The following is a 24,195-nucleotide window of genomic DNA, read 5'->3' as shown; positions in this document are numbered from 1 at the left end:
GGGTATATAAGTCTGTTTATAAAGGCTATTAAAAGCATTGCATTTATTTAGCTGTGGATCTAATTCAGCTATAGACAGGATGAAAAATCAAGCAACAGCAAATGCTGCTATGGCTAAGTCTGGTAATGGCTAATTGAAAGGTTGCAGTGGGTAAGAAGGCTTAAATACGGCCCAGATTTTAGGCAAAGGCATGCTTCCAATTTCTGAATGTTCATTTATATTTCCACAAGCTGCATTACTGGGTTGGCCAAAAGAGGCATATGGAGTTTCAACTACTCTTTAAGCTGCACATTTTTAACTTCCACATGAAAACACATTTTAAAATTTGTTACATCACCTTGGATCATATACCAGGTCTGAAAACTCTCTTCTAGCACTTCCTTAAATTGTTTTGAAATGTTGGTATAAAAGGTCAGATTAACAAATCTACGGGATATACTAAAGAAAAAAAGTAATAAATACAGACAAATCACCTTCCTATCAACCTGGAATGTGCTGACATTATTTTGGACAGATATTTAGCCCATCTAAACCATAGGATAAAGCTGCCGGTATTTGTCTGAATTTTGGCACCCATTCTTCTACTAGTCTACAAATCCTTTGAACTCTGATCTCAAACCTAATTCCTCCTTTGAACTCTGATCTCAAACCTAATTCCTCATCTACTCCCAAAGATCTGCCCTTCTCTGTTTCCTATCTCAGTGCCAATGTCCATCCTCTTCCCAGTTGCTGCAATCTGAAACATCGGAAACTTCTGTGACTTCTTTCTCTCCCTAACCCCCTCATGGAAATCAGTCACCAAACTGTGCTGCTCTGGCCTGGCTTCCCTTCACTGCCATGTCTTCCAAGCCAGCTCTCTGCCCCTATTCTCACTACTCTTGCCCAGAGATTGGGATTTTCTATTGACCTCTAGTCTCTCTTACATACCACCCTTCTCAGTCCCACCAACAGGAGCCTCCAGGGCCACTGTGGGGTACACAGTACTCAGTCCATCCTCCTCAACTCCCAGAATTTAGCCGTGCAAAGCTCCTTACTTCATCTGGCAAAAAAATGGCTATACTAAAAACCAGTGTGAAAATTTCCTGCCCTACTTAGTTAATAGTAACCCTCCCTTATTATAGCTGAGCATAGATCTGATCTTGCCACTTCTTTTCTGAAAGAATTTGAAGATTTCTAACTACCTATAAAAGTCACTCTCGGCTGGGTGTGGTGGCTCATGCCTGTAATTCCAGCACTTTGGCAGGCCAAGGCAGGCGGATCACCTGAGGTCAGTAGTTCAAGACCAGCCTGGCCGATGTGGTGAAACCCTGTCTCTACCAAAAATACAAAATTAGCTGGGCATGGTGGTGCATGTCTGTAATCCCAGCTACTCAGGAGGCTGAGACAGGAGAATCACTTGAACCTGGGAAGTGGAGATTGCAGTGAGTCGAGATTGTGCCATTGCACTCCAGCTTGGGCAACAAGAGCGAAACTCCATCTCACATACACACACACAAAAAAAGTCACTCTCCTCAGACTAACACCTTCTAGATTTCCCAGGTTCAGACTCTCTGCTTTTAACATCTTTACAGCCAGAATGCTACACCCTCATCTGTCAAGGAATAGTTTGAATTGCATGTTCTTCATGAAGTTTTCTGGTGGTCCCCTTAGTCCAATTCCCCCTCCCTTTTCCCTGCTCTTCTCATCAATTGTATTTTGTCTCACTATATAATGATTTGCCTGAAAGACATAAAGCCCCTACAGGGTCAAGATCCTGTCTTACACACCTCTGGAGCCTCACTTTGCTACTGCAATGCCTTGCACCTAGAATCATTCACACTCAGTAAATATTTGTTGGATTTAATTGGATGGTCATTATCAACCCCTGGGTTAATTTACTACTCCTATCACCAAAAAGTTACTAATGCTTTCAATTACTTATAATAGCTACATTTTAAACTTGCAAATTAAATTACTTTATTTTAAAACAAATACCATGTTTCTGACATTGGTACAAGGAAAATAAGCATTGATGGAAAAGATCTTGGTCCCCTAGAAAATGTAGGTATAACCACATGACTCAAATGGACACAATAATCCCTCATTTTATTCTGCTATAGCTAAAAAAAGGAAGAGAAAGATAACTCATTGCTTCATGGCTGTGAAGTTTGTTATGAAGCTTCAAAAAAATTTAAATTCTTATTTTAGTATTTGCTAGAAAATCTAAAAGAAAATCGTCTTTAAAATTCCAGCAACTTTTCCTCTGTGAAAAATTTAGTTCGGATTATTCATTACATTCCCATCCCACTTTACAAAGCACCTGATAGCAAAATGCATTTCAGAAAAATGCAGCTAATACTTTTGAGAACAGCCGTTTTTCTGAAAAATAATATTTTTGTTTATACAAATTGCACCTAAGTTAAACTTTCATGGAGGATATGATATACTCCAATAGCATAGTGTTTATATCATATTAAGGTCTACCATTTGCTGAGAAGTGGACTTGGTGCCCTGGGAACAATAAAGAATTAAAAGATTGAGAAATACAGTATTTTCATGTGTGAATAATTAGTCAGAGATCTAGTAAGGAGTATAAGAAAATCTATAGTATAATTAGATGCTAAAGGATTTAGCACAGATAAAGGCTCATCTGTATTTAAGGGAAACAATCCTGTCTTCCTGGTATGGCCATCACCCTTTGCCCACACACTATGGCTGCAAACTTAGGCATGATGTTTGGTTCTGCCTTCTCCATTGGCCCTTCCATTCAGTTAGTGTCAAGAAGTAATAACTCTAAGCCCTTTCTTTAAAATTTCTCTCAGTCTCCTATTTTAACTTTGGGTTCCATTGTCATACTCAATTGCAGAATCTCCTCATTTCTGTATTAACTTTCTCGTTCTTTCCTTTAGATTTATCTGCACCTGCGTGTGACCACACCATTTGGCCTGCTCAGGTGATCCAGTGACCATTCATTATGTGGTTAAGCCAGTTCAAACACCAGTTATGATATTTATAAGGCCCTCTGCAGTATGTCTTCATTCATTCATTTACTCATTCATTAAGTCAACACTTATTCCCTAACACTTGTTTTAGGCCAACCACTATTCCAGGCACTGGGGATATCATTTTTATTGAAACACTAATTTTATTAATATAGAAAGGACCTGGTTATGTCTTCTTGGATTATTCCCTTGCCTAATTCAGCTGGTTTTCTCCTTTACAAAATGGGAAAACATCTTGCCTGCCTTATTTAGGTCACTGGATTTCTGGAAAACTTAAAGATGAGGTAGGGCAGTGAAAAATGTTTATAATCTCTAAAAGAATAAACAACCATTCATTCTTTTATAAATTTTTGAGTTATCCTGGGGAGAAGTACATTCAAGTAACTTAAGCAGGAGGGAAATTGGTTCCAACTGAGGTGTCTGTGGAAGGCTATCAGGATGCAGTGTTCTCTGAGCAAGGTATAACTGGGATAACTGGACTTTGTCCTGCAACCACTGGAGAATCTGTCAAAGAAGCTAGAAGAACAATGTACTGGCAGCAGGGTGGACGATGGCTTGAAGCTTAGAGACTGGAAGCAAAGAGAGAGATCAGAGGTTGAGAGAAAATGTGGGCTTAATAAATCCAGAAGGTTGGTGGTAAAGGAAAGGAGAGATAATGCTGAAAGAAATACAGATGAAAGAAATGTTGAAGATGAAGAACATTAGAATTTGGCAACTTGGATATGTGGTGGTTGAGGGGACAGGGTGAGGGACACACATGAGTAGACAATGTAGACAATGGTTCCCTAATTAGGATTTACAGTGAGAGAATGGCCTGTAATATCCCTACTGGGAAAGAACAAATTTCTATTCAACCAAGATGGGTTTAATCTTGAATGGTGAGACTGAAGTACACACATCTTATGGTCAGCACTGAATATTTATGAAATACTGACATAACAGGAAGTATTATTGGAGCCAAAATGCAGTAAGGGGTTTGAAGAAACAGCATTTCATAAGGACTTCTCAGATTAATGTACAAGATTTATGGTACAGAATCCTAAGATCGGGGAGGAGTTTGAAAGAAGGTTCAGTACAAGATGCTACTGCAATTAAACTGTTATTAATATTGTTATTTTATTATTTATTTTTGCTGCAATAGTTGAAAGGGGAACTGATTTTCTCAGAACGCCCCACTTGATGACAATTTTTTTGAGTTCTGGAAGTGCAACTCTTTGTATTTGAATTAAATTAATTCATTCTTTATTCCCACTGCTAATACAATGACCTAGATTTCAGGCTGTCAAGATTTGCAAATGTAAAATGATAAGACTATCTTTTTCATGAGATTTTAGTGTCAAGATTATTTACTAAATGCTGCTATCTAAGGGAGTTATTTTAGTATTCTAGTTTCTAAGCCTCCTCTTTGTAGGCTATTCCATGGGATTCATATTTTATACTTGCTTTTATAATTTATATTTCATTTCAGTTCTTAAAAAAGCACTACACATTTAAACAAAATTCATCCCCCTAAAAAATCCATAGAGAGAATTTTTAAATGTTAGGATAGAATATAAATTGAACTGTAGACTTCAAGGTTTTAAGACATCATTTCTATATAACTGCATATGATTCCTTAATAATTTCTAGACCCTGCACTGTCCAATACAATAGTCTAGCCACATGTGGCAACTGAAATTTAAATTGGCTAAAATGACCAAATGTAGAAGTTCAATTCCTGAGTTATACCAGCCATACTTCAACTGTTCAACAGTCCTATGTGGCTAGTGGCTATTGTACTTGATGGAACAAATATAGAATATTTCCATTATCGCAGATATTTCTATTGGAAAGTGTTGGTTCAGGCCATTTTTTACATAAGGGAAAGGATCTAACTGTAGTCTCCTTAGTTCCATTTGTCCCACAGTTGGTCAAGTATTTGTATAGCACATGATCACTAATATTGCTGAAAATGTGGACCAGCTTGGCCACAGCCAACTTGACAGCTGTTCACAGATATATTCCTATGGTCAAAGTCCTAGAATATCTCCTGCCATCCTTGTGACCAGTGTCACACCGGAAGAATGTTTCTTACTTTCCTGTCTCCCTCAAGGGACCATGCTATCCATACCACTCAAATGACCCCAAAGATCCCTGGGTATTCAATCTCCCGCAAGGGAATACAGACCAAAGTAACTAGTCTCATATTATTTATTTATTATTTGGCCACATTTATTTCATTTTGAATTTTGTAAGAAAAGAAAAAAATACATCTTTTAAAAATGTGACTCTACCATGTCTCCTAAGAAACAAGTCCACACTGTTTCCTCTAACTCAAACGCAGGAACCTCAGGAGGAAAGAGGTGTTGAGACCGAAGCCTGATCTCAGCCAGTGGGCAGGCTTTATTTTTCCCCTAACACATTCAATAATGTAATTAAACAAATGTGTTGTGAGTATTGCAGAGATATCTTGCTGTTCTGCAATTTGTTGAACACAAAGATAACATTCAATAGATCCAAGAAAAACCTAGGAAGATTGAGCCTTCCAAAATCACTTTGGTTTTGGCTTCAGCTTACAACAATGGTCAATTTAATTATTGGCTATCACAGAGCATAAAATGAGCCATTATGATAGCTCATCAGAAGAAAAAAAACCTGACACGAAGGCATCTGATTTAATTGGTTCTGGTACTGAGAATTCACCAAAACAATCCCTGACTATAAACAATGTTACAGCTATTAAATTCATCTTATAAAGATCAAACATTTCAGAAGGAGATTAAATTTTAAAGTGAGCTGAAAAACGCACCCTTATAAACAGGAAACTCTGTTTCGTAAACCTGCTAATTAAAGCACTTAATAAATGGGGGAAACCCCCCACTCTAAATCTCTTGTTGGTACTGGAGAATTTTCATTTACGCTTTCAGAGAAATAATCAATCGAAGGGCACATTTTTCTTCTCTTTGTTCTCTCCCATCAATTTTAATGGGTACAGAACATCAGTCACACCAAATGTAATGGGACAAGAAGATGGATGAGTACATTTGAAGCCACTAGTCACAGGACAGAAAACATCCTGATGAGGTGACCGTGGCAGCACAGACTTCAACAATATGGTCTGGCAATATTTAGTAGGTGAAACTATGTTGCTACATGATTTGGTATTAGCACTCAGCAAAATCAATCTCCAGACACAATTTATCACATGTCCGCAGGTCAGACTTTCAAAGTCACATTCTCAGAATATGCTCCAATGACACACTCTTAATTCCAGAAATGATTTAAACAAGCAACAAAGTGGGTAAAGAGGAGAAGGACAATGTAACCTTAAGGAGCCCGACCTTGTCTCATAAGTGATTAAAATTACTTGGGAAGGAAAATTTTATTATGGCTTAGAAATTATGTCTGCATATTACAAGATGAATTGGTGTACACAGTGGGTGCTGAAGACTGAGATCCCATCTTCAGGATCGAGGGATTCACTCCCCCAGGGGCGGGGGGCATGGGCTGCTGCAGCTTCTTCCTACTCTGGAAACTGAATTCAGTCAAAGGGAGTTGCTTTATTCAAAGCTATGCTCACTCCTCCAGGGATAATGGCATGGCTCTTTTGCCTGGCTCCGGACAACTCTGACAGGCCATTCCAGTTTCAGAGCTCTCTCTGCCATCAGATCAGCAGGGGTCTCTGTTAAGATTGCATCATAGTTCTACATTTTCCTCTGCCCAGTCCGACTACCTTCATTTCCTCCCAGGTGTTGTTCCTGGGACAACTCTCCAGGCTTCTCACACGCAAATCTCTGCCTCAGAGCCTGTTTCTGGGGCCACTTAACCTAAGACAGTATACATAATTAAAACACTTTTTCGTTGCAGCAAATTAAGGTAACTGAAATGCTGGACTAAATGAAATATTAACAACTATGGATATTCAGGTTCACAATTAGTTACATACTATTACTTCATTTGGACTTACACAGACGAGGTGTTTTCTATTTAGCTTATTTAAAATTTTAAATTAAAAAAATTAAATGTATTGCATTTAACACTTTAAGTAAAGAGTTTGACTCTGTGGGTCTCTATATCCCTAAGTAACCCAGTAACTAATTAAAATGTAGCAACATATTCAGGAGCAGGGGTACCATTTGCTATGCATGATGGCTTCTTATTTGGAGCCCTGAAGGTAATATTAGGCATCATAAGACCACTCCTTGGTTCCCACCTCTGACTACTATAATTTTTCTTTCTTTCTTTTTTTTTTTTTTTAGACGGAGGCTCACTTTGTCGCCCAGGCTGGAGTGCAGTGGTGCAATCTTGGCTCACTGCAAGCTCCACCTCCCAGGTTCACACCATTCTCCTGCCTCAGCCTCCCGTGTAGCTGGGACCAAAGGCACCCGCCACCACGACTGGCTAATTTTTTTTTTTTTTTGTATTTTTTAGTAGAGACAGGGTTTCACCGTGTTAGCCAGAATAGTCTCAATCTCCTGACCTTGTGATTCGCCTGCCTCAGCCTCCCAAAGTGCTGGGATTATAGGTGTGAGCCATAGGTAGTTCCCTAAGGTCCTATTAGCCACTTTTTTTTTTTTTGTCTCTTATTCACCTTCTAGAAGCAATAACTTATTACAGGATATTAAAGAAATGAAACCAACCCTATATGAAACATATTAACAAAAGATTCTACATCTCAAATTAGTAAGTGCTTTTCCCTCTTTCAGAATTTTCTGTGATCTATGAAACACAGATAATACTGGCCAGAAAGCTGCAAATACTTCAAAGCTGCCAAAGCAAACTTCAAAGTGAGAATCCAGGTTTAAAATGATTTTCTGGTTGTAGTAGAAGATGAGAATGAGGTATCTTTGGTGTGAGGAAGATGAGGAAAGCACCCCAGAGCAGTCATTAGCACATTGACAATATTGTTACTGGTTGTGCTCCAGGACACCAGAGGGGACCTGGTGATCATGTTCATCAGCACAGATAAGGTGTCCATTACTCAGCCAGAAAACGGCAGTCCATCAGAGAAGATCATTTAATCAATGAGATGATCTTAGAAATTGCGAGAAGGCAATTATATACACCATTTGCTCTAAATGCTTTTGTCACTCTTTTGTTTGATTTTTTGTTTTATTTTTGTCATTGATCAGTTACAAAACCATATTTTCATCTTCCTGAAATTTAAGACCTACTTACTTTGCTTTCAAGAGACTGGAGTGACACTATAAAAGCTTTGTAAGGCAACTTCTTTGTAAATTTATATTTAACTTACTTTCACCAACTTTTTGTAATAGTATCCAAATGGAGCCCATAAACCTGAACAAAAATGTGCAGTCACAGACTCTATTTAATACCTGTTAATAACCAACTATGTGTATCCACATCATACAAATAAATTGGTAATATTTATACCTTTGCTGAGGTTACTAGTATTTATTGGTGACATTTTTATTCAGAAGGTAGAAATGAAAAAGATTAAATTAAGCCATTTAGTCTATGCCAATTCAGGAGGAGATATTTTCTAAGTTTTTTTTTTTTAAATCTAAATTGCACATCCAAGGAAATAGTATTAAATTGAATGGAAGACTGTTACGGTCTGACTTTCTCTCAATTCTATTAACTGTATTAAAGAGAAAGTTAGACTATAACAGTCTTCCATTCAGTACAATACTATCTCCTTGGATGTGAAATTTTGTCCCCAAAAAACTTAAAAAAATTTTACATTATATATATATAGTAATATATACACAGATATATACATATATGTAGTTTGTTTGTTTGTATTGAGACAGGGTCTTGCTCTGTCACACAGGCAGGGGTGCAGTGGCACAATTATAGCTCACTGCAGCCTGGATATCCCAGCCTCAAGCAATCCTCTTGTCTTAGCCTCCCACGTAGCTGAAAGTAAAGGCATGAACCACCAAGCTCGGTTAATTTCTTTTATTTTTTACTTTTAGTAGAGATGGTTTTACTATGTTGGCCAGGCTGGTTTCAAACTTCTGGCCTCAAGTGATCCCCCCGCCTCAGCTCCCAAAAGTGCTGGGATTACAGGCATGAGCCACGGCACTTGGTCTCAATGAATTCTTGAAGTTTGAGTAAATTTATCCTCAGGTAGAAACATCACTTTTGCATGTAGTTCTTAAAATGGCCAACATAAGCAAGACAGTAAAGATATCTTTCCTCCTTCCCTCCTTCTTCAGATTCCCCAGTATCTGAATAAGATTCTAGTCTTACATGGGAAATATGGTTAGCATTTTGGTCACAGTTTAAAGCTAAGTTTTGTGGAATGGAAAATTAATCTTGGTTAAAATGAATTTTTAAAAGCAGTAACTTAACTTCCACCCTCTCTGAGTTGTCTATCTAAGGTTATATGTGGGCCACTGAATTAGTTTCCTGAAAAGCTTAACTGATATTGGGCATATGAGGGGAGATTATCTTTATTTTCATATATTTTTCATGGTTCAAACAATATCCTAGATGTAAAAGTAATAACAAATAATACAAGTAAAAGAAATATGGTTTTGAGTTATTCAACAATATATGTTTAGTATATTATTAAATTGGGTTAGGTTTTATTTAAAGCTTAAAGTTTTAAAAATGATTCTCATGGTTTTCTTAGGCTACTCTTTGTTTTATATGATTTTAATTTGGATATTTGCAGTTGAAGAAATTCTCATTTTAGTACTATCATAATTATGAAGCCCAAAGGCATCATCATCAAATAAAATTTAGGCAATTTCCAGTATATTTTATAACTATCACTTACATCCTTTTTATACTAAAGAGGAGTGTATATAAAATCAATAATTTGACAATTTAGCTATACTTGACTATTTCAATGATGGACAAAAACCACGTAAAATAAAAACAAACATATTAAAGTATTTTTACACAAAATAGTGAATTCAATTTTACAGCACAGAAGGCAGCAAAAGGAGATGCATCACAATTACTAAGTCAATAATTGATTCATTTAATTTTACACAGATATATCCTATTTTAGATGCCTTATTTTAATTTTTACTTTTAATTTTAATTTTCATCTATGCTACAGACAATTATCATCACTATGACATCTCATGACACTTTGTTCCTCCCTGTCTTTCTCTCACACACAGAACTAATATTGCTCTTTGCATCATAGTTATTTGCGTGCACATCCATTACCCATGTCTGCTGGATAGTAACCCCCTTGAGGGCAGGGATCCCATCTTATTATGCTATTGTGTCACCTTCATCATCTGACTCTGGAGACAGGATTCATTTAGTATTTAGTCATGCACCTTTACTTGAGAAACATCTGTAGAGGTACTGAGGTAGAGGCTGAGGATGCAGAGATTGAAGACAGGGTTTTTGACCTCCAGAGATTCGGAGATCAGTGAAGCTGCAAGTAAACTGAGAAAACAATAGCATTTGGTACATATTATGACAGATATATGAACTGGGTACCTTGGAAAGAGAAAAGAAAGGACCTACTCAAGTCAAAGGACTCTAGGAAGATTTCCTGGAAAAAAACAATGTCTGAACCACACTTTGAGGAGTATTATAACTTATTCAGATGAAGAAAAATGGGAGGATTCTGGAAAGAAAGAATAGCTTAGTGTGTTGGTCGGTTTGACAGTTGAATAATAAAAATTCTATCATTTTTTGTCATGACTGGAGATCTTAAGATGAGGTCCTAATGTGTTGGGTCTGCATAAAGCGAGGTAATGAAATGCTTGGTCTGGGATAAGAGAGACAGGAAGAGGAGCCCAGTTGGGGCAAAGGAAGGGCCAATAAATGTTTTGTTTTTGGAGAAAAGCAATGACAGTTTCCTCAATTCTAAGGGGCAAGTTCTTCCCAATATCTTATTGTTTCTGAAACTGGGATATAGCTTGCAGTCAATATGCATATTAAAATATGTTTGTCAATCCCGCTCCCCCAGCTGTTCTTAAATTTGATGATGAACCTCATAATTAATATGTGTCTTAAAATAGGTGGCATTTTCGAAATCAAGAAAACATAGCATATGTAGTTTCTTTAATGATTTTATTTTCAAACAGAACTCAGTGAATACTGGAGACAATAACAAAATGTTTCCTTGGTGAATGCAGTTTTCACTATGTCCCCACTCCTATTCTTTGACTCAATTTGTATTAAATAGCTGCTCTGGGCCATACACTGCATGGGATGGTAGAACTGCATAGGCGCAGCAGAACTGAAATACACACACAGAAGCATCTGACTATACTTTAAGTTGTGAAGCATGATGGAAGAGAATCATTGAGAAGAATGAACTGACTCTGTCCTGGACTCAGTGAAAACTCCGTAAGTGGCAAACTTTGGATTGAGCCATAAGGTATTAGGGCTTTTACCAGAATAGGGGTGAGGAAGGAGAGGTGGGAAAGGCACTGTAGGCATAAGGGACTTTGTGTTGAAAGAAAAAGAGATGGGAAAAATCACATTGTCTTAAATAGAAAGTTATAGTTTTCTTTGGTTAAAATTTTAGCTGTTAGGAGAGAATGAGGAAACAAAACAGATTGCGAGGAACCTTTCATGGCAGAAATGGATTTATGGAAAAGTGGGGAAAGGCTTTCAAGCCCTCAAAAGTGGGGAGTGACAAGTCACCTTCCCATACTGATCAGCTCTCATAGGTGAGATAATTTCACTGAAGTTACTAAAATGATGGGGAAAGAAGTAGTTGTGAGGATTTCTCTTCCTATGCCGAAAAGAGCATCTTCCATAGACCCTTTCAAGGGAAAACAATTTAAAAAGCATCTTTTATTGATTCTCTTACTTCTTTCTTCCCTTCCTCTCCTCCATTCCTTCTTCCATTTTTTTCTTTATGAGATACTTATTGAGTGCCTACTATATGTCAGATATTCAAAATTTATGGGTAAGTTCAGTGGATAAATATGAAATGGGACATTTGGTATTTACAATAAAATGAACATGTACTCTAACATTAGGCAGACCCTGGTTTGAACTCCAGGTGTCCTGCATGCTGACAATATGAATTTGTTACTTGACTACTTTGTGCTTCAGTTTTCTCATCTGTAAAATGGGGACAGTATTACATATCTCATAGGGTCATTGTTAGACTGAAATGATACCCTAACTATAAAAATTACCATTTATGTAATGCCTGTAATGTGTTATACCCTTTAAACGTATTGTGTCATTTAATCCTCAAAAAAACACTTACAGGTTCAGACTTATCAATTAAACAGAGGCTCAATGAAGTTAAGTAACTCACAGTCAGAGAGAAGACTGCTTGATTCAAAAGTCTCTATTCTTTCTTCTATGCACAGTGTTTCTCCCATGCTATGCTTGATATTTAGTGTGCAATCACCAAAGACAGTAACACTACAATGTGCCATCTTAGTAAAACATTTTTATTATTTTCCATGTTGTCTTAACACTGAGGCTCATAACTCCATAGGCAAAGTCAACTTCAAACATTATAAACATGACTCATTAAGGAAACAAAGGGCATACTTGAGCAAATGGCAAAATCTACCTATTGTAGGTCAAGTTAGCGTGGCTGAGCTCTTTTAACTAAAGTACCAAGCAAACAATATTTATACATATTCTATGATTAAAATTGACTGAAGACTCTATTTGATTGCATCCTCAGGGTGTTTTGTGTCTCATGGGGATGACGGCACTAAGCCCCTTCACTTTTGTGTGGAGATCAAGATCCTCAATAACTATAGTCGTCCCATATCCTGCTTTAGTCCAGCTGTTCCCATTACCCCAAAATATGTCCTATAAGTCATCTTTCTGTGATTTGGCTTTTACAATACATCCTGGACATCAAACACATTACCTTTGACTAAATGGTATGCAATGATTATGCTGAAGCAAAAAAAAAAAAAAAAAATTGCCCTTGGTTCCTAAACTAGGCCATTGGGAATAATATCCACTGTCTGGCTGTTCCATGAAGTTTCTTAGATGCCCCTTGCTCATAGAGAACTATCTTTTCTCTGCCATGTCCACTGTACTAAGGTCATACCTTTCCACACTTTCTTCTAATTCCTTCATGATACACTCCTGGAAGACTGGCTTCTTTTTTTCCTTATGCTTCTTTTGTGTCCTGTGTTACTATCTAGCAGAGTTCTGAGCACAAAGCACATGCAGAATCATTATTTTTGGTATTCAGTGAGAAATGCTCTTTCCCAAACTTTGCTTTACCTAAAAAAAAAAACCATCTAAATTCTACCATGATTCAGTTATAGAAAAACATTTACTGTCACTGATTACAATAGTGGTCTTTCATCTGCAGATTTATTATTTTTTAAACCATACTAAGTAGTTTGGAAATTCTCTTTGTTCCTATACTCTTGGGAGAGTCTTTTTCGTTGTTAGTAAAGATATCTGAAACAGACCCTTAAGAGGCCTAGGAGTGAGAGGTTAGTTCAGAAAAAAAAAATCTAATTTCCACTGAGATGAGAGCAAGTTTCCAAAATAAATAAATAAATAAATAAAGCCCTACAATGTTTCTATAAAGCTACATAAAACAGAAGGGAGGGGGAAAAGCAAAGCTTCAGAGGACCTAAACAACCATAAAGCAAGATTTACAGCTTGCTACAGAATGGCACAAATTAGCAATTAGATGTTACATGTCGAAATACAGGAGAATATGGGGCTGCTACCTTTTAAGCTTTTTGTTGAGGGAAGCAATAAAGTATTCATAATAACCCTTTTAAGGCTAGTATTCCACATTGAAAGTGATAGAATTAATAAAGAAGAAATGAATACAGCTGGAAGGGAGATGGAGATGGGACAGGTTATATTGATGACTTTGGAAACGTTGCATTTAGATATAGAAAACACAGCTGCATTTGAATTATCTATAATTCTAAATCTGAAGACATGATTGCTACCCAGTGCTACTCTAAATTCACATGAGTCACAAGAAGAAGTTTTTTAAGAATAATACCTAAAATTCTCAAGGTGCATGCCCTAGGATGGAAAATGAGAGAAAACAGTGCCTGGAAAAGATTGAATGATTGAGGCAGATCCTGTTTTGGGCAATGTGCTCACTTTTCCCCATGAATTATAAACATGTCAAGAGTATAGAATCTTCATAAAACCACAAGCTGGGGACCTCTTTTGAGTGACTACCTAGTGATTTAATTCTTGGGTCTTTCTTAATCATTTAATCAGATTGATTGCATACCTATTAAATGACTTGTGAAAATTCAATATATGAAAATCTACTTATATAAAATGAATGTACTGGACAGTGATTGACTGTTGTGGGAGGATTTTTGCACTATCAATTAATCTTTATTCTTAATTACTTAACACTTATAAAGAAACCACTTTTTGCCAAAGATATGCAGTTCATTTGTTACTAACATGATTGGAAATGAATAACAAATGTGCAGGTTAAATAATTATGTAAATAAGATCATGGGTTTTGGAAATATTTGTAACCAAAATTGAAATTAAATAATTTTCTAATGAGATTATCTTACTTCACCAACAAATTCAGGTGAGTCGAAGAGTCAAATATCTAAGCATATTTTCTAGCTAAGATTTTAGTAACGTGCCTCCCTTGTGTATAATTTGGAAACAGTGAAAATGTTTTCCTACAGTATTCCATCTAAATAGATATGCAATTAGAAATGGCTGCCTTTCTCTTAGGTCTGTGTCAATTAAACAGTGAAAATATAAAGAAGTTATATATTTTTAATAAAATATATGATATTTTGATCTTTCTATGATGGAAGGGCTCTTCACTTATTAAACCTACCTAAATTAATTATAATCATTAAAATATTTATTTTTATAAAAGGTCTTTTGCATATCAAAACCACTCTGACATTTAAGATTTTCTTCAAAGGTCTTGAATAAGGAACATTCTAGCTAAATGTACATGTTTTATTTTTTAATCACTATATTATCATCACTCTCTGAACATCATAGCTCAAGATGTAAAATCAACTTATTTTACTTTTTAAAGGAAAGGTAGTGATAACTTTCATTTTTCATTTCACAATTTTAAGTAATTTTGCATTTAACAAAAAGGGACAGGAAAAGCTTTAGTCCAGTGATAGCAGTAACTTCATTTTTGACAATCTGTCATATCTAAAGTTTTTGAAAGTTCAGTCTCTTCTTTCAATCCAACACTTTTTGGATTATTTTTCCACATTTCTGCACTGAAATGCTCTGTGATCATCACCAGGTTAGGCTCTCCAGTAAGCCAATGCTGAGAATATAGTGATTATAATGTAGTGTGCAAGATGTTTACTAAGGAGTGTTCCCTTTGTGGAAGGGACAGGAAGGAACCAGAATTGGGCAGAAGGAGGGAACTGTGAGGCCCAATACCAGCTACAGGGAGCTCTTAAGCTCAAATTGCCTTTCAGAGTGTCCCAAGTCAGGCTTGGGGCAGAAGATGGCCAGACCTGTATATACTTGGATATTTACCTCCCAGGGAGGGGAATGACGTTGGGTGAAGGATTTTCTGCAGCTAAGACCGTTAAAGTGGAGCCTAAAATTAAAGGCTTTTGCTGACAGCACGCCCAGCAGCTGGAGCAAGTCTGTTCTAAAGAGGCATCTGAGTAGCACATAGCATATTTTCAAATCCAAAGATACTCGGTTCTTATTACACACTCTAATGCAATTGACCACACTGGCCACTCCGATTTTAAATCTCTCTCCTCTTGACTTCCATAACTTTCTGCTTATTTTCCTTCCTACTCTGTAACAATATCAGTCTTTTCCTTTTCTTTCTTCTTATTGGCCTGTTTCTCAGTGCTTATACCTCTCCTCACTTTTTGGTTCTCCTTACTTATCACATCTGCCTGGGTGATCTCATCCAACAGACACATATATGCCAAGTTTTAGTTTTGAATATTCACTATTCCACCGTCCCTGGACATTGCTTAGATATCCTGCAAATGAAATCAACAATCTCCTCTTCCTTTTCAGAACACACTTCCCTTCTTTTATTTCTTCTCTCTGTAAACTTCATGACATCAACCCAGTCTCAAGAGCCACATACCTATTGAAATTACCTCCTAGTAGGCCTCACTTTTATTCTCCTTTTACATTCTTTTGACCACTAACTTAGGCTTTTCAGCAGCCTCCTGGTTGGTTTCGCTTGTTGTAGTCTTGCTGTAGTGCACCATCCCCAAATCAAGCCCAATTGGCCCCAAACACACACCATAACCAAATCTACAATTGAACTCTTATCACAGTTCTCTTTCTCTTAAAAAAATGAACAGAAAATTGGAAGATGGGAAATTCTTTAGGGTCTGTCTTGAGCACTGTCAGGCCATACCCAGGGAGTCTGCCTCTTACTTTAGCATTTAGCGATACCTATTGCTTATAGTTTCCAACTCCCAATCCATTGACATCTACTGCCTGTTTACCACTTCCACTGGCTTTTTAAAAACCCTTTCATCATTTTAGTTTCTCCTCCCTTCTTCTCCCCCACTCCCCAAGCTCCCATCATGCTGAGCAGCACCTTTGCATTTCCATAGCTGTCTGTCAATATCTCTGTTGACTCAATATTTACCAGGTTAAATTGAACATTCTCTGTTTATGCCTCTCTTATGCTACCAGACTGTGCATTTCTCAAAAGCAAGGACTATCACATGGCAAAGTCCAGGGCTTGGCACATATTAAGCAATCAGAGCTGACACAGAGTTTTTGAACTGAACCACATGTCTAGAGTTTAAGACATCTGCTGAGTAGTTGATAAAAGCAAGCCATTACTATAGTGCATCCTCACTTGTTATTCTGATTTTAAGGAACAGACACCTCATTCTAGCAAATAAAATAGAGGTTTATCATAGGAAGGTATTGGAACTGGGGAAATAAAGCCATTCTGAGGACTTGCTATTTATTTCTTAGCCTTTCTCATTACCCATCTGTTTCATTTCTTAGATGTCTCTGATTCTCTTGGTAGGTCAGATCCTCATAGATATGGTGGAACACAAACCCCCAAGCTCCCCCACCAACATTCCTTTGTACCCTTGCCCCATTACTAGTGTCCTACTTCACAATATAAATTTCTGAGACTGAAAAAACCTAACTGAACCCTCAACTTTATGCACAAGGTGCTTGTCCCTGGTTTAATCAGCTGTTAGATATAAAGTAGAGAGGAAGACAGAGTGATATGGGCCTTCGCCAGCAGCTGTGGATGGGGTAGTTTAATTCTAAAGAGGCTGCAGATGAGCAGGGCATCCTGGTGAGTCCTAATGAGGATCTGCTGTGAGAGTGAAGGTGAAAGGACAAACAAGCACCTGGCCTGCCCTCCAGATGCTTATAATTCACTCATACAGAATTGACTATAATACCAGGCAGGCAAACATGAAAAGGAGTCCGAAGGTGGGAGAGATTAATTTTTTTAAAAAAAGAACAATAAATGCAGAAATTTCTCTGCACAAGGAGACATTTGAATAACTAGTGATAGAAGAAAATAGTGGCAGAGATGATTACAAGGTGTATTCCACAGAGGCTGAAGAAAAGTGGAAGTAAGTTACAAGGGTCCAAATTGGGAGGCCTACCTTAAGAGAAAAGCAAAAAATAGAGTCTGGAGCAATTACAAATTGCATTAGAGGAAGAATAGGAAGAGAGACAATTGGAAAGAAACCTAGAAGCCACTCAAGAGGGCCTTTAATACTGGAATAAGACATGTTTTCTTCATTTTATAGTAATTGGGAGCCATTAAACATTTTCTAGAAAATTATTCCAGCAGCAGCCATCAGGGTGGAGTGACACAATGGCAAATTCTAAGAGGGAAAATTCTTACGGTATCAGAGAGAGTTAATCAAAGGAGTTGTGACTGTGGGAAGGCAGGAATTGATGCTGGGAATGTGCACAAATAAGAGAGCCAGGGGAGCCACTGTGTGAGTGGAGAAGGCAGAAGTGGCCCTTTTCATTCAGTGGTTTTGAGTTTTGTTGAAAGCAAAAGGGAGGGTGAGACCTTCACTGGCGCTAAGGAACATGGGAAAGGGATAAAGTCTGGGGGAAAATGTTAAGAGACTATGAGTAGGGGTTACATAGTATGAGACAAAATAAATTTCTGAAAGATCTGGGACAGCACCCAGAGAAGGGAGATTATATGAGATCCAAGAAACATTCTAGAATAGAGGAGACTTTAGCATATTTAAAAGCTATGGGAAGGGATCCTGTAACTATTTCATGGTATATTGTGATGATTAAATAAGATGATGCTTAGGGAAAAGTGCTTAGCACAGTGTCTGAATATTCTAACTTCTCATTGTCAGCTGCTGCCAATATTGTTACTTTCAATGCAGGTTCTGTTTCAGTTTATGTTACTAATTCACAGATGCAGGTGGTGGGGAGACCTCTTAGCTGTGCCAAACCATTCAAATTAATAAATGTACTCTCTGTTGTGCTACAGTATCCACTTAGAAGAGAACAGCAGTCACAGCAGTGACATTGTCTGAGAACTAGTGCTAGTCTACTTCTGGTTTTCCTGAGATTGAAGGCAAATTAATTTCTTTACCCTGATGTGGGAAGTGAATAAGAATAGAATCTTGCATATCACAATATGAGATTTAGATGAAATCCTATAAACAGCTTCTTGTTAATAGTATGGTCTTCTAAATATTTGCTCCCAATTTTAACACATTATTGGACACCAACGAACATCCCATCAATAATCACCATCACGTAATCAATCAAAAAGTTACACTGGATTCATATGTGAAAAAATCAAGCTTAAACGTCATTAGATTTAAGTATTATTATATAATCTTACTCAGAAATAAATCTGTTATTAGGTCAGAAATACCTAACAAGCTATTGTAGCTCTCTTGGTCCAGATGGGTATTTAATCAAATTAATAAGAAACAGGCAGTTCAGTTTGTGTCAATAGAAGGACATTGTTCCCATTACTCCTTTATTAATTCATAAGAGGTTAATAAATAACTTACTTTGAATAAAATAAATCACTGTAGATAAAAACTGTGTCCCTGGCACATATAAAAGTTAATAGGTGCATAAAGATGCATGGAAACCGCATGGTGTGAAGGTTACTGGGTCCACCCAAACCCTAGATTCTTGTATCTGTGTGCATACTGGAGCCTGATTGGCCCAACTCCAGTTGAAAATAATTTTCTTGAGGTGACATTCCATCTCTTGTGCCAATTGAAAGTCTTAGCTCCTCCAGAGGAGCAAAAAATATCAACAAAATATAAACTTGACCTCATTTCACACCTAAGCGCACCATTCTGATTGTTTTACTGGACTCCTCAGCGAGCACATTTGGTTTGTTTACTGCAGTTATAAACCAGAAACTGCATTCTATGTGTCCTGTATTATCAGGTCACTAAATCTAGAAAGAAAACGTGGAAAAGTTCAATATCATAATGATTCTATTATAAAGAATTAAACATTTTTCCTGTTGATCATATGTTTCGTGATCGCTGCTAATCTTAAATTTTCATATCTCCTGGTAAACTTTATTTTGCCTTAGCTCATAAGGAATAGTAACAAAAGAAACAAAAAGGCAAATGATCTGAGAATTACAATTCTTTAAATAAATATGATTTGGGCAATCAGGTGTTAGTGTATGTGCCAGAAAGTTTATTTTAATATACAGCTAGAAATAGGCTTCCAATCACAAGTCACTTTTGTAAATAGTATCCTCTCTTATGGGGGAAGCTATGTGCCCTCCTGAACACCTGGTTAAGAACATGTTCACTTTCATGTGTGCTCTGAGCTGCCTTTCCTCCAAATAAAAATAGAAACTAGTTTGCAGCACCACACGGGGCTCCAGCGTATTATATGAGCCTATCACTGGTTTCCTTTGATATCTTATCTATTCCATTAACTCAATAAAATAGAAGGCAAAGCTGGGGACAAACTGTAGGAGGGCTCCCCTTGGAAAACACATGCAAGACCTTTAAGCTGGGGCTTTAGCTTATCTAATAAAAGCCAGTTAAATGGAAGCTAATACTTCATTTTTCACCCCCTTTATTAAAGATCATAAGTACTGCAACTCAGGAGTAGAGAAAATAAAATAAATATATGGAGGAGTACAGGTAGAGGCAATAAAGAGCATGGCTTATCTATTTTCTCAAGATTTAGGAAGCACTTGAAGGCAAAACTCACAGACAAGCATTTTAAAAATCCATAACAAAGGCTCCTGCTTCTTAGCAAATACAGTGGTCCTTTCTGGCTGCAGTAATCCTGCTGGATTTCTTAGTAGAATATAAACAGCTTAACCTAGGCATAATCAGGGAGGATGCCACCTACCACGCTCTCCATATTATACTTTTATATAAATTTAGTAATTCAGATTAAATAAAAAGATTGATGAATCCACTCCTCTGCTCCTCCACCACCCAAAGAGAAACAATACTAGAACTCAAACTCTAACAACCAAACTAAGGAAAGTGTTCCACCTAGAGACTGTTTTCATGAGTCAAAGTGGATGAGAGCTCATCTAGGAAATGAATATTATTTTAGCCTATCCTTGCAAGTTTGTATTAAAAAATGAAGCAAAAGGTATTGCCCCTGGTGTAATTAACAATGTTAATCTTCTTTTTCCTGTCTATGGTGATAAAGCAGTCATTTTTATATTTAATTAATGCAGAAGATCATTTTGGAAACTGGCTAATGAGCCTCTGATCACATTACCATGAAAATGTGCATTAACATTGCAACTGAGGAGGCTGTTTCATGTGTAGCAAATCCACTTTGTAATTAGCCCACTGTGAAATGAATCACGTCAGGGGGAAATCTGAGGGAGCCAGTAGTCAGTGGGCACTTGGCTACTGCTGTGCCATGGGCCACCAACATCCCAAGCATCGTCCTTCATCAGCAATCTTGTCTAAGAACAAATGTAGCACTGTGTCACCTTTGGGACAAACTGGAAGAAGGGAGAAATAAACTTTATTTTGCTAGATAAGAAATTCGAACTTGAGCATACACTCCCAGGGGAACCTCCCCCAATAAAACAGTAAGTTAAGAAAATTCTGTTAAAACTATAAAGGCTCAGGATCTAGTTTTCTTATTTGTATTCCTAAAAGCCCTCAGATACACATAAAAGAGACATCTAAATTTATACACTTTTTTCTAGGTCACCTACAGTTGTTGTAATAAGCTCTCAAAATTAATTTCTAGTGCTAAACAAACAAAAACCTTATAAAAAGGATCCAATAACAAGTGGTAAGAGAATTTCTTTATCTCCTGTTTCAGCCAGGACATAGCATATATTTTTTCCTCATGTAATACAAAATTACTAGGTCTTCCTCTTAAACCAAAGCACAAATTCTCAATTCATCCAATAATTTCCTATGGCTAACAGGATTTGGCAGGAAACTTCTCCTGTCTATTGAAAATAACTGAGATCATAGACCCATTAAACCCCAATATTTATGCAGACAATGATACAATTGATTTTCAAATGTCAACAGTATTCCAAAATGAAAGAGATATCTCAAAATATTACAGACATGGATCTCAGTGCTACTCCTGTTATGTGACTGACATCTTGGCAGTAGATACACAAAATGTTAAAAAGAATCCCACAGGAAGTCATCTGAAGGGGGAGTGGCAAGGAAGCTGAAAACTGCCACCCAAAACCAAAATTAAAAGCCCCAAACCAGCAAGTCTGCCCTCAATTCTGAAATGTACTGAAAGAAAAAATAAAGCTAGCCAGAATTCATTTACCGTCTTTCAGACAAACACAAAGCCTGGCTCTTAGTTGCTGGTATCAGACCCTGCACTCACCTGGGAAACTTCATACAGCAGTTTGTAGTGTTCCTCTCTTTTCTGAAAAGTGCACAAATTGCAGCCCATTCTAAGAAGCAGAGAGAGAGAGCAAATCTTCTAATTTCCCCAGAACTGAAAGGCAAGTGAACTGAAAGGGAATCACCCTCCAGACTTGACTACTGTTTTTCATCAGTCACTTCAGTCCAGAAACACAGACAAACCGCTGTTAGCTGGAAGCGTAAGCCAGAGTGGTGTGTAGCAGCATGCTCTTCTTCGCTTTCCCTAAGTATCTTGCACTCACGGATACACACACAGAGTTTCCAGTCAGTTCATGGCAACACTCCCCCGTCTCTGCATCAGTGCACATGACTACACAGATTCCAGCTCATGAATATTAATAGTGCCTCATTGATTATTTATGACAGAACATGTTAGCAGGGAGGGGTGTCATAGCTGCTGCTGATGACAGATGAATATTCACTAATTAAGAAGCAAATGTAGTGTGGTTAAACAAAATTCACTTGTGTCAATACCATCTCTGTTTATTAAGGATAGAGGGGTTGCATATAGGGCATTTGAAAAAAAACATACACTTAATTTCTCCATTGATATAAGCTTTTAATATGGGAATAAGAAATTCAGAAACAGAAATATACTTAGTTTACATATCCATGCTCTGCAACAAGAAGGAGAAATATTTTTAGCATTATTAAACCTAGGGGAAAATGAGTAGGGATAATTATTTACATTTATAAAATAAACACAGAAGCAAAGGAAATTTGGGGGGGTGACATGGAAAAGGAAGAGAAGGCAGGGGCATCATTCAGTTTTAATTCTGATACTACAAAAATAACTGAATAGTTCATATGTAAAGACCATTACTTACTAAGGAGGAAATAAGGGATATTCTCTTAATTCTAAAGAATATTTAGCAAGTATTAGCAGATGATACTTGTACAGATAATTAATATTTTAATTAGATAATGAAGGCCCATCTATTGAGTATATATTTGTAGCATATAACGCATGTAGATTTGTATTCAAAAAGTAGATCAACACAATGCCTTTTCTAAGAAAAATTTCAAATGCTTATAGTATTTATGCTAATTTTATTAAAGTCATATATAATATTTTACAAAGCTGATACTGGCAATAGTTAAACTTGAATGTAATGCACAATGACTCCATTTATGATTCTATATTTAGAGTTCATAATGATCAAAGGTGAACAGAGACTTAAAAACTAAGCTTAGATGTTTAGATAACAGAAGTAATGCATTTCATTTCACACTCTTGCAAATACATGTGTTGTATTGCAAGCTGGCAGTTTTTGTCCCTTAAAGATATACTACAAACAGCTAAAGCAGATAATAAAAGAAAATTCCTTTTGTTCCCACACTGACTTATCCACACCCTCTGCTAATTAAGAAGTATGTCCTTGTTCCAGCACATCTTTAAACCGGACAGGATAGCAGGTGGGTTCCAAAGCAAAAATAATTACTTGGAAACTGACGACTCTGGTTAGGAATTACACTGGATCTTGAGATTTTTAATTGCTTATCACTGACGAATAGCTACGTTTTGGGGTCCAGTTTCCTAAAAGTGCTTTGTCACATGTTTAGAATCGATAACAGGAAATGATTCTAATGAGCACTAATTGTTAACAAATTGGCTTTGCAACTAGCAACACCTCAACACCAGCAAGTAGCAAGGAGATGAACAATCATCTGCTGCTTATCAGTTGTTTCCCTTGGGATGTAATAATCCGATTTTCTGGGCCTAATTTCACCTAACAGCCTGGATGAAAGCCAAGCTGAGAGACCTACATGAAAGTGGCATCATAATTGGGAACAGTGTGTGTGAAAAAAGTTCTCCAGGACTTCTAGCAAATTAGAAACCACTTGTAGGAGATATTAATTTTAGGACTTGATTCCTCTATGGAAAGAATGTTTTCAAAAAGGTATTTGAAGTGGCCTTTATAAAAATTCATGGTGGCCACAAACATAAGCAATCTCCTTCTTCTCAGGTGCAACTGTAAAACATAAATGTCTGATGCTTTTGAAAGTTTTAACTTCTCTAAGCCTCTATATCACTTCCCATGAAGTATTCTCATGCTAGAGTTCACATCCTCAAAGCAAACATTGACTATTTCTTTGAAGGATTCTAAATTGCTGAGTTGTGGAAGAATTATTGATTCTCAGATGTTCATACTCTGTATTTTATTTTATTTTATTTTACTTTTTTGAGACAGAGTCTTGCTCTGTTGCCCAGAGTGGAGTGCAGTGGTGCCATTTTGGCTCAGTGGAACCTCTGCCTCCCAGGTTCAAGCGATTCTTCTGCCTGAGCTTCCTGAGTAGCTGGGATTACAGGTGTGTGCCACCATGCCTGGCTAATTTTTTGTATTTTTAGTAGAGACGGGGTTTCACCATGTTAGCCAGGAAGGTCTCGATCTCCTGACCTCGTGATCTGCCTGCTTCGGCCTCCCAAGGTGCTGGGATTACAGGCGTGAGCCAACGCACCCAGCCCATACTCTGTATTTTTTTAAAAGTCAGATCAAGGAATTAGAGTGCAG

At 37.2% G+C, this 24,195-nt stretch overlaps 1 protein-coding gene across 2 annotated transcripts in view; it reads right to left on the bottom strand.

Annotated features, from left to right (window-relative positions):
- Nucleotides 1-24,195, bottom strand: part of PDZRN4 (PDZ domain containing ring finger 4) — a 386,426-nt gene that overhangs the window by 115,091 nt on the left and 247,140 nt on the right. The window contains exon 1 of one of the 2 annotated variants that reach the window (NM_013377.4): nt 21,642-21,916. The exons of the other annotated variant lie outside the window; for it this stretch is intronic. Within the exon in view, the coding sequence (NP_037509.3) occupies nt 21,642-21,710 (69 nt within the window). The 5' untranslated portion in view covers nt 21,711-21,916. Of the gene's footprint in view, nt 1-21,641; nt 21,917-24,195 lie in introns of those variants that run through there. 2 annotated transcript variants of the gene reach the window in all.

Source organism: Homo sapiens, chromosome 12 (assembly GCF_000001405.40).
Source record: "Homo sapiens chromosome 12, GRCh38.p14 Primary Assembly".
NCBI classification, from domain to species: Eukaryota; Metazoa; Chordata; class Mammalia; order Primates; family Hominidae; genus Homo; species Homo sapiens.
Note: the sequence above shows the minus strand (reverse complement) of the source record. Positions and strands in the feature narration are given on the sequence as shown.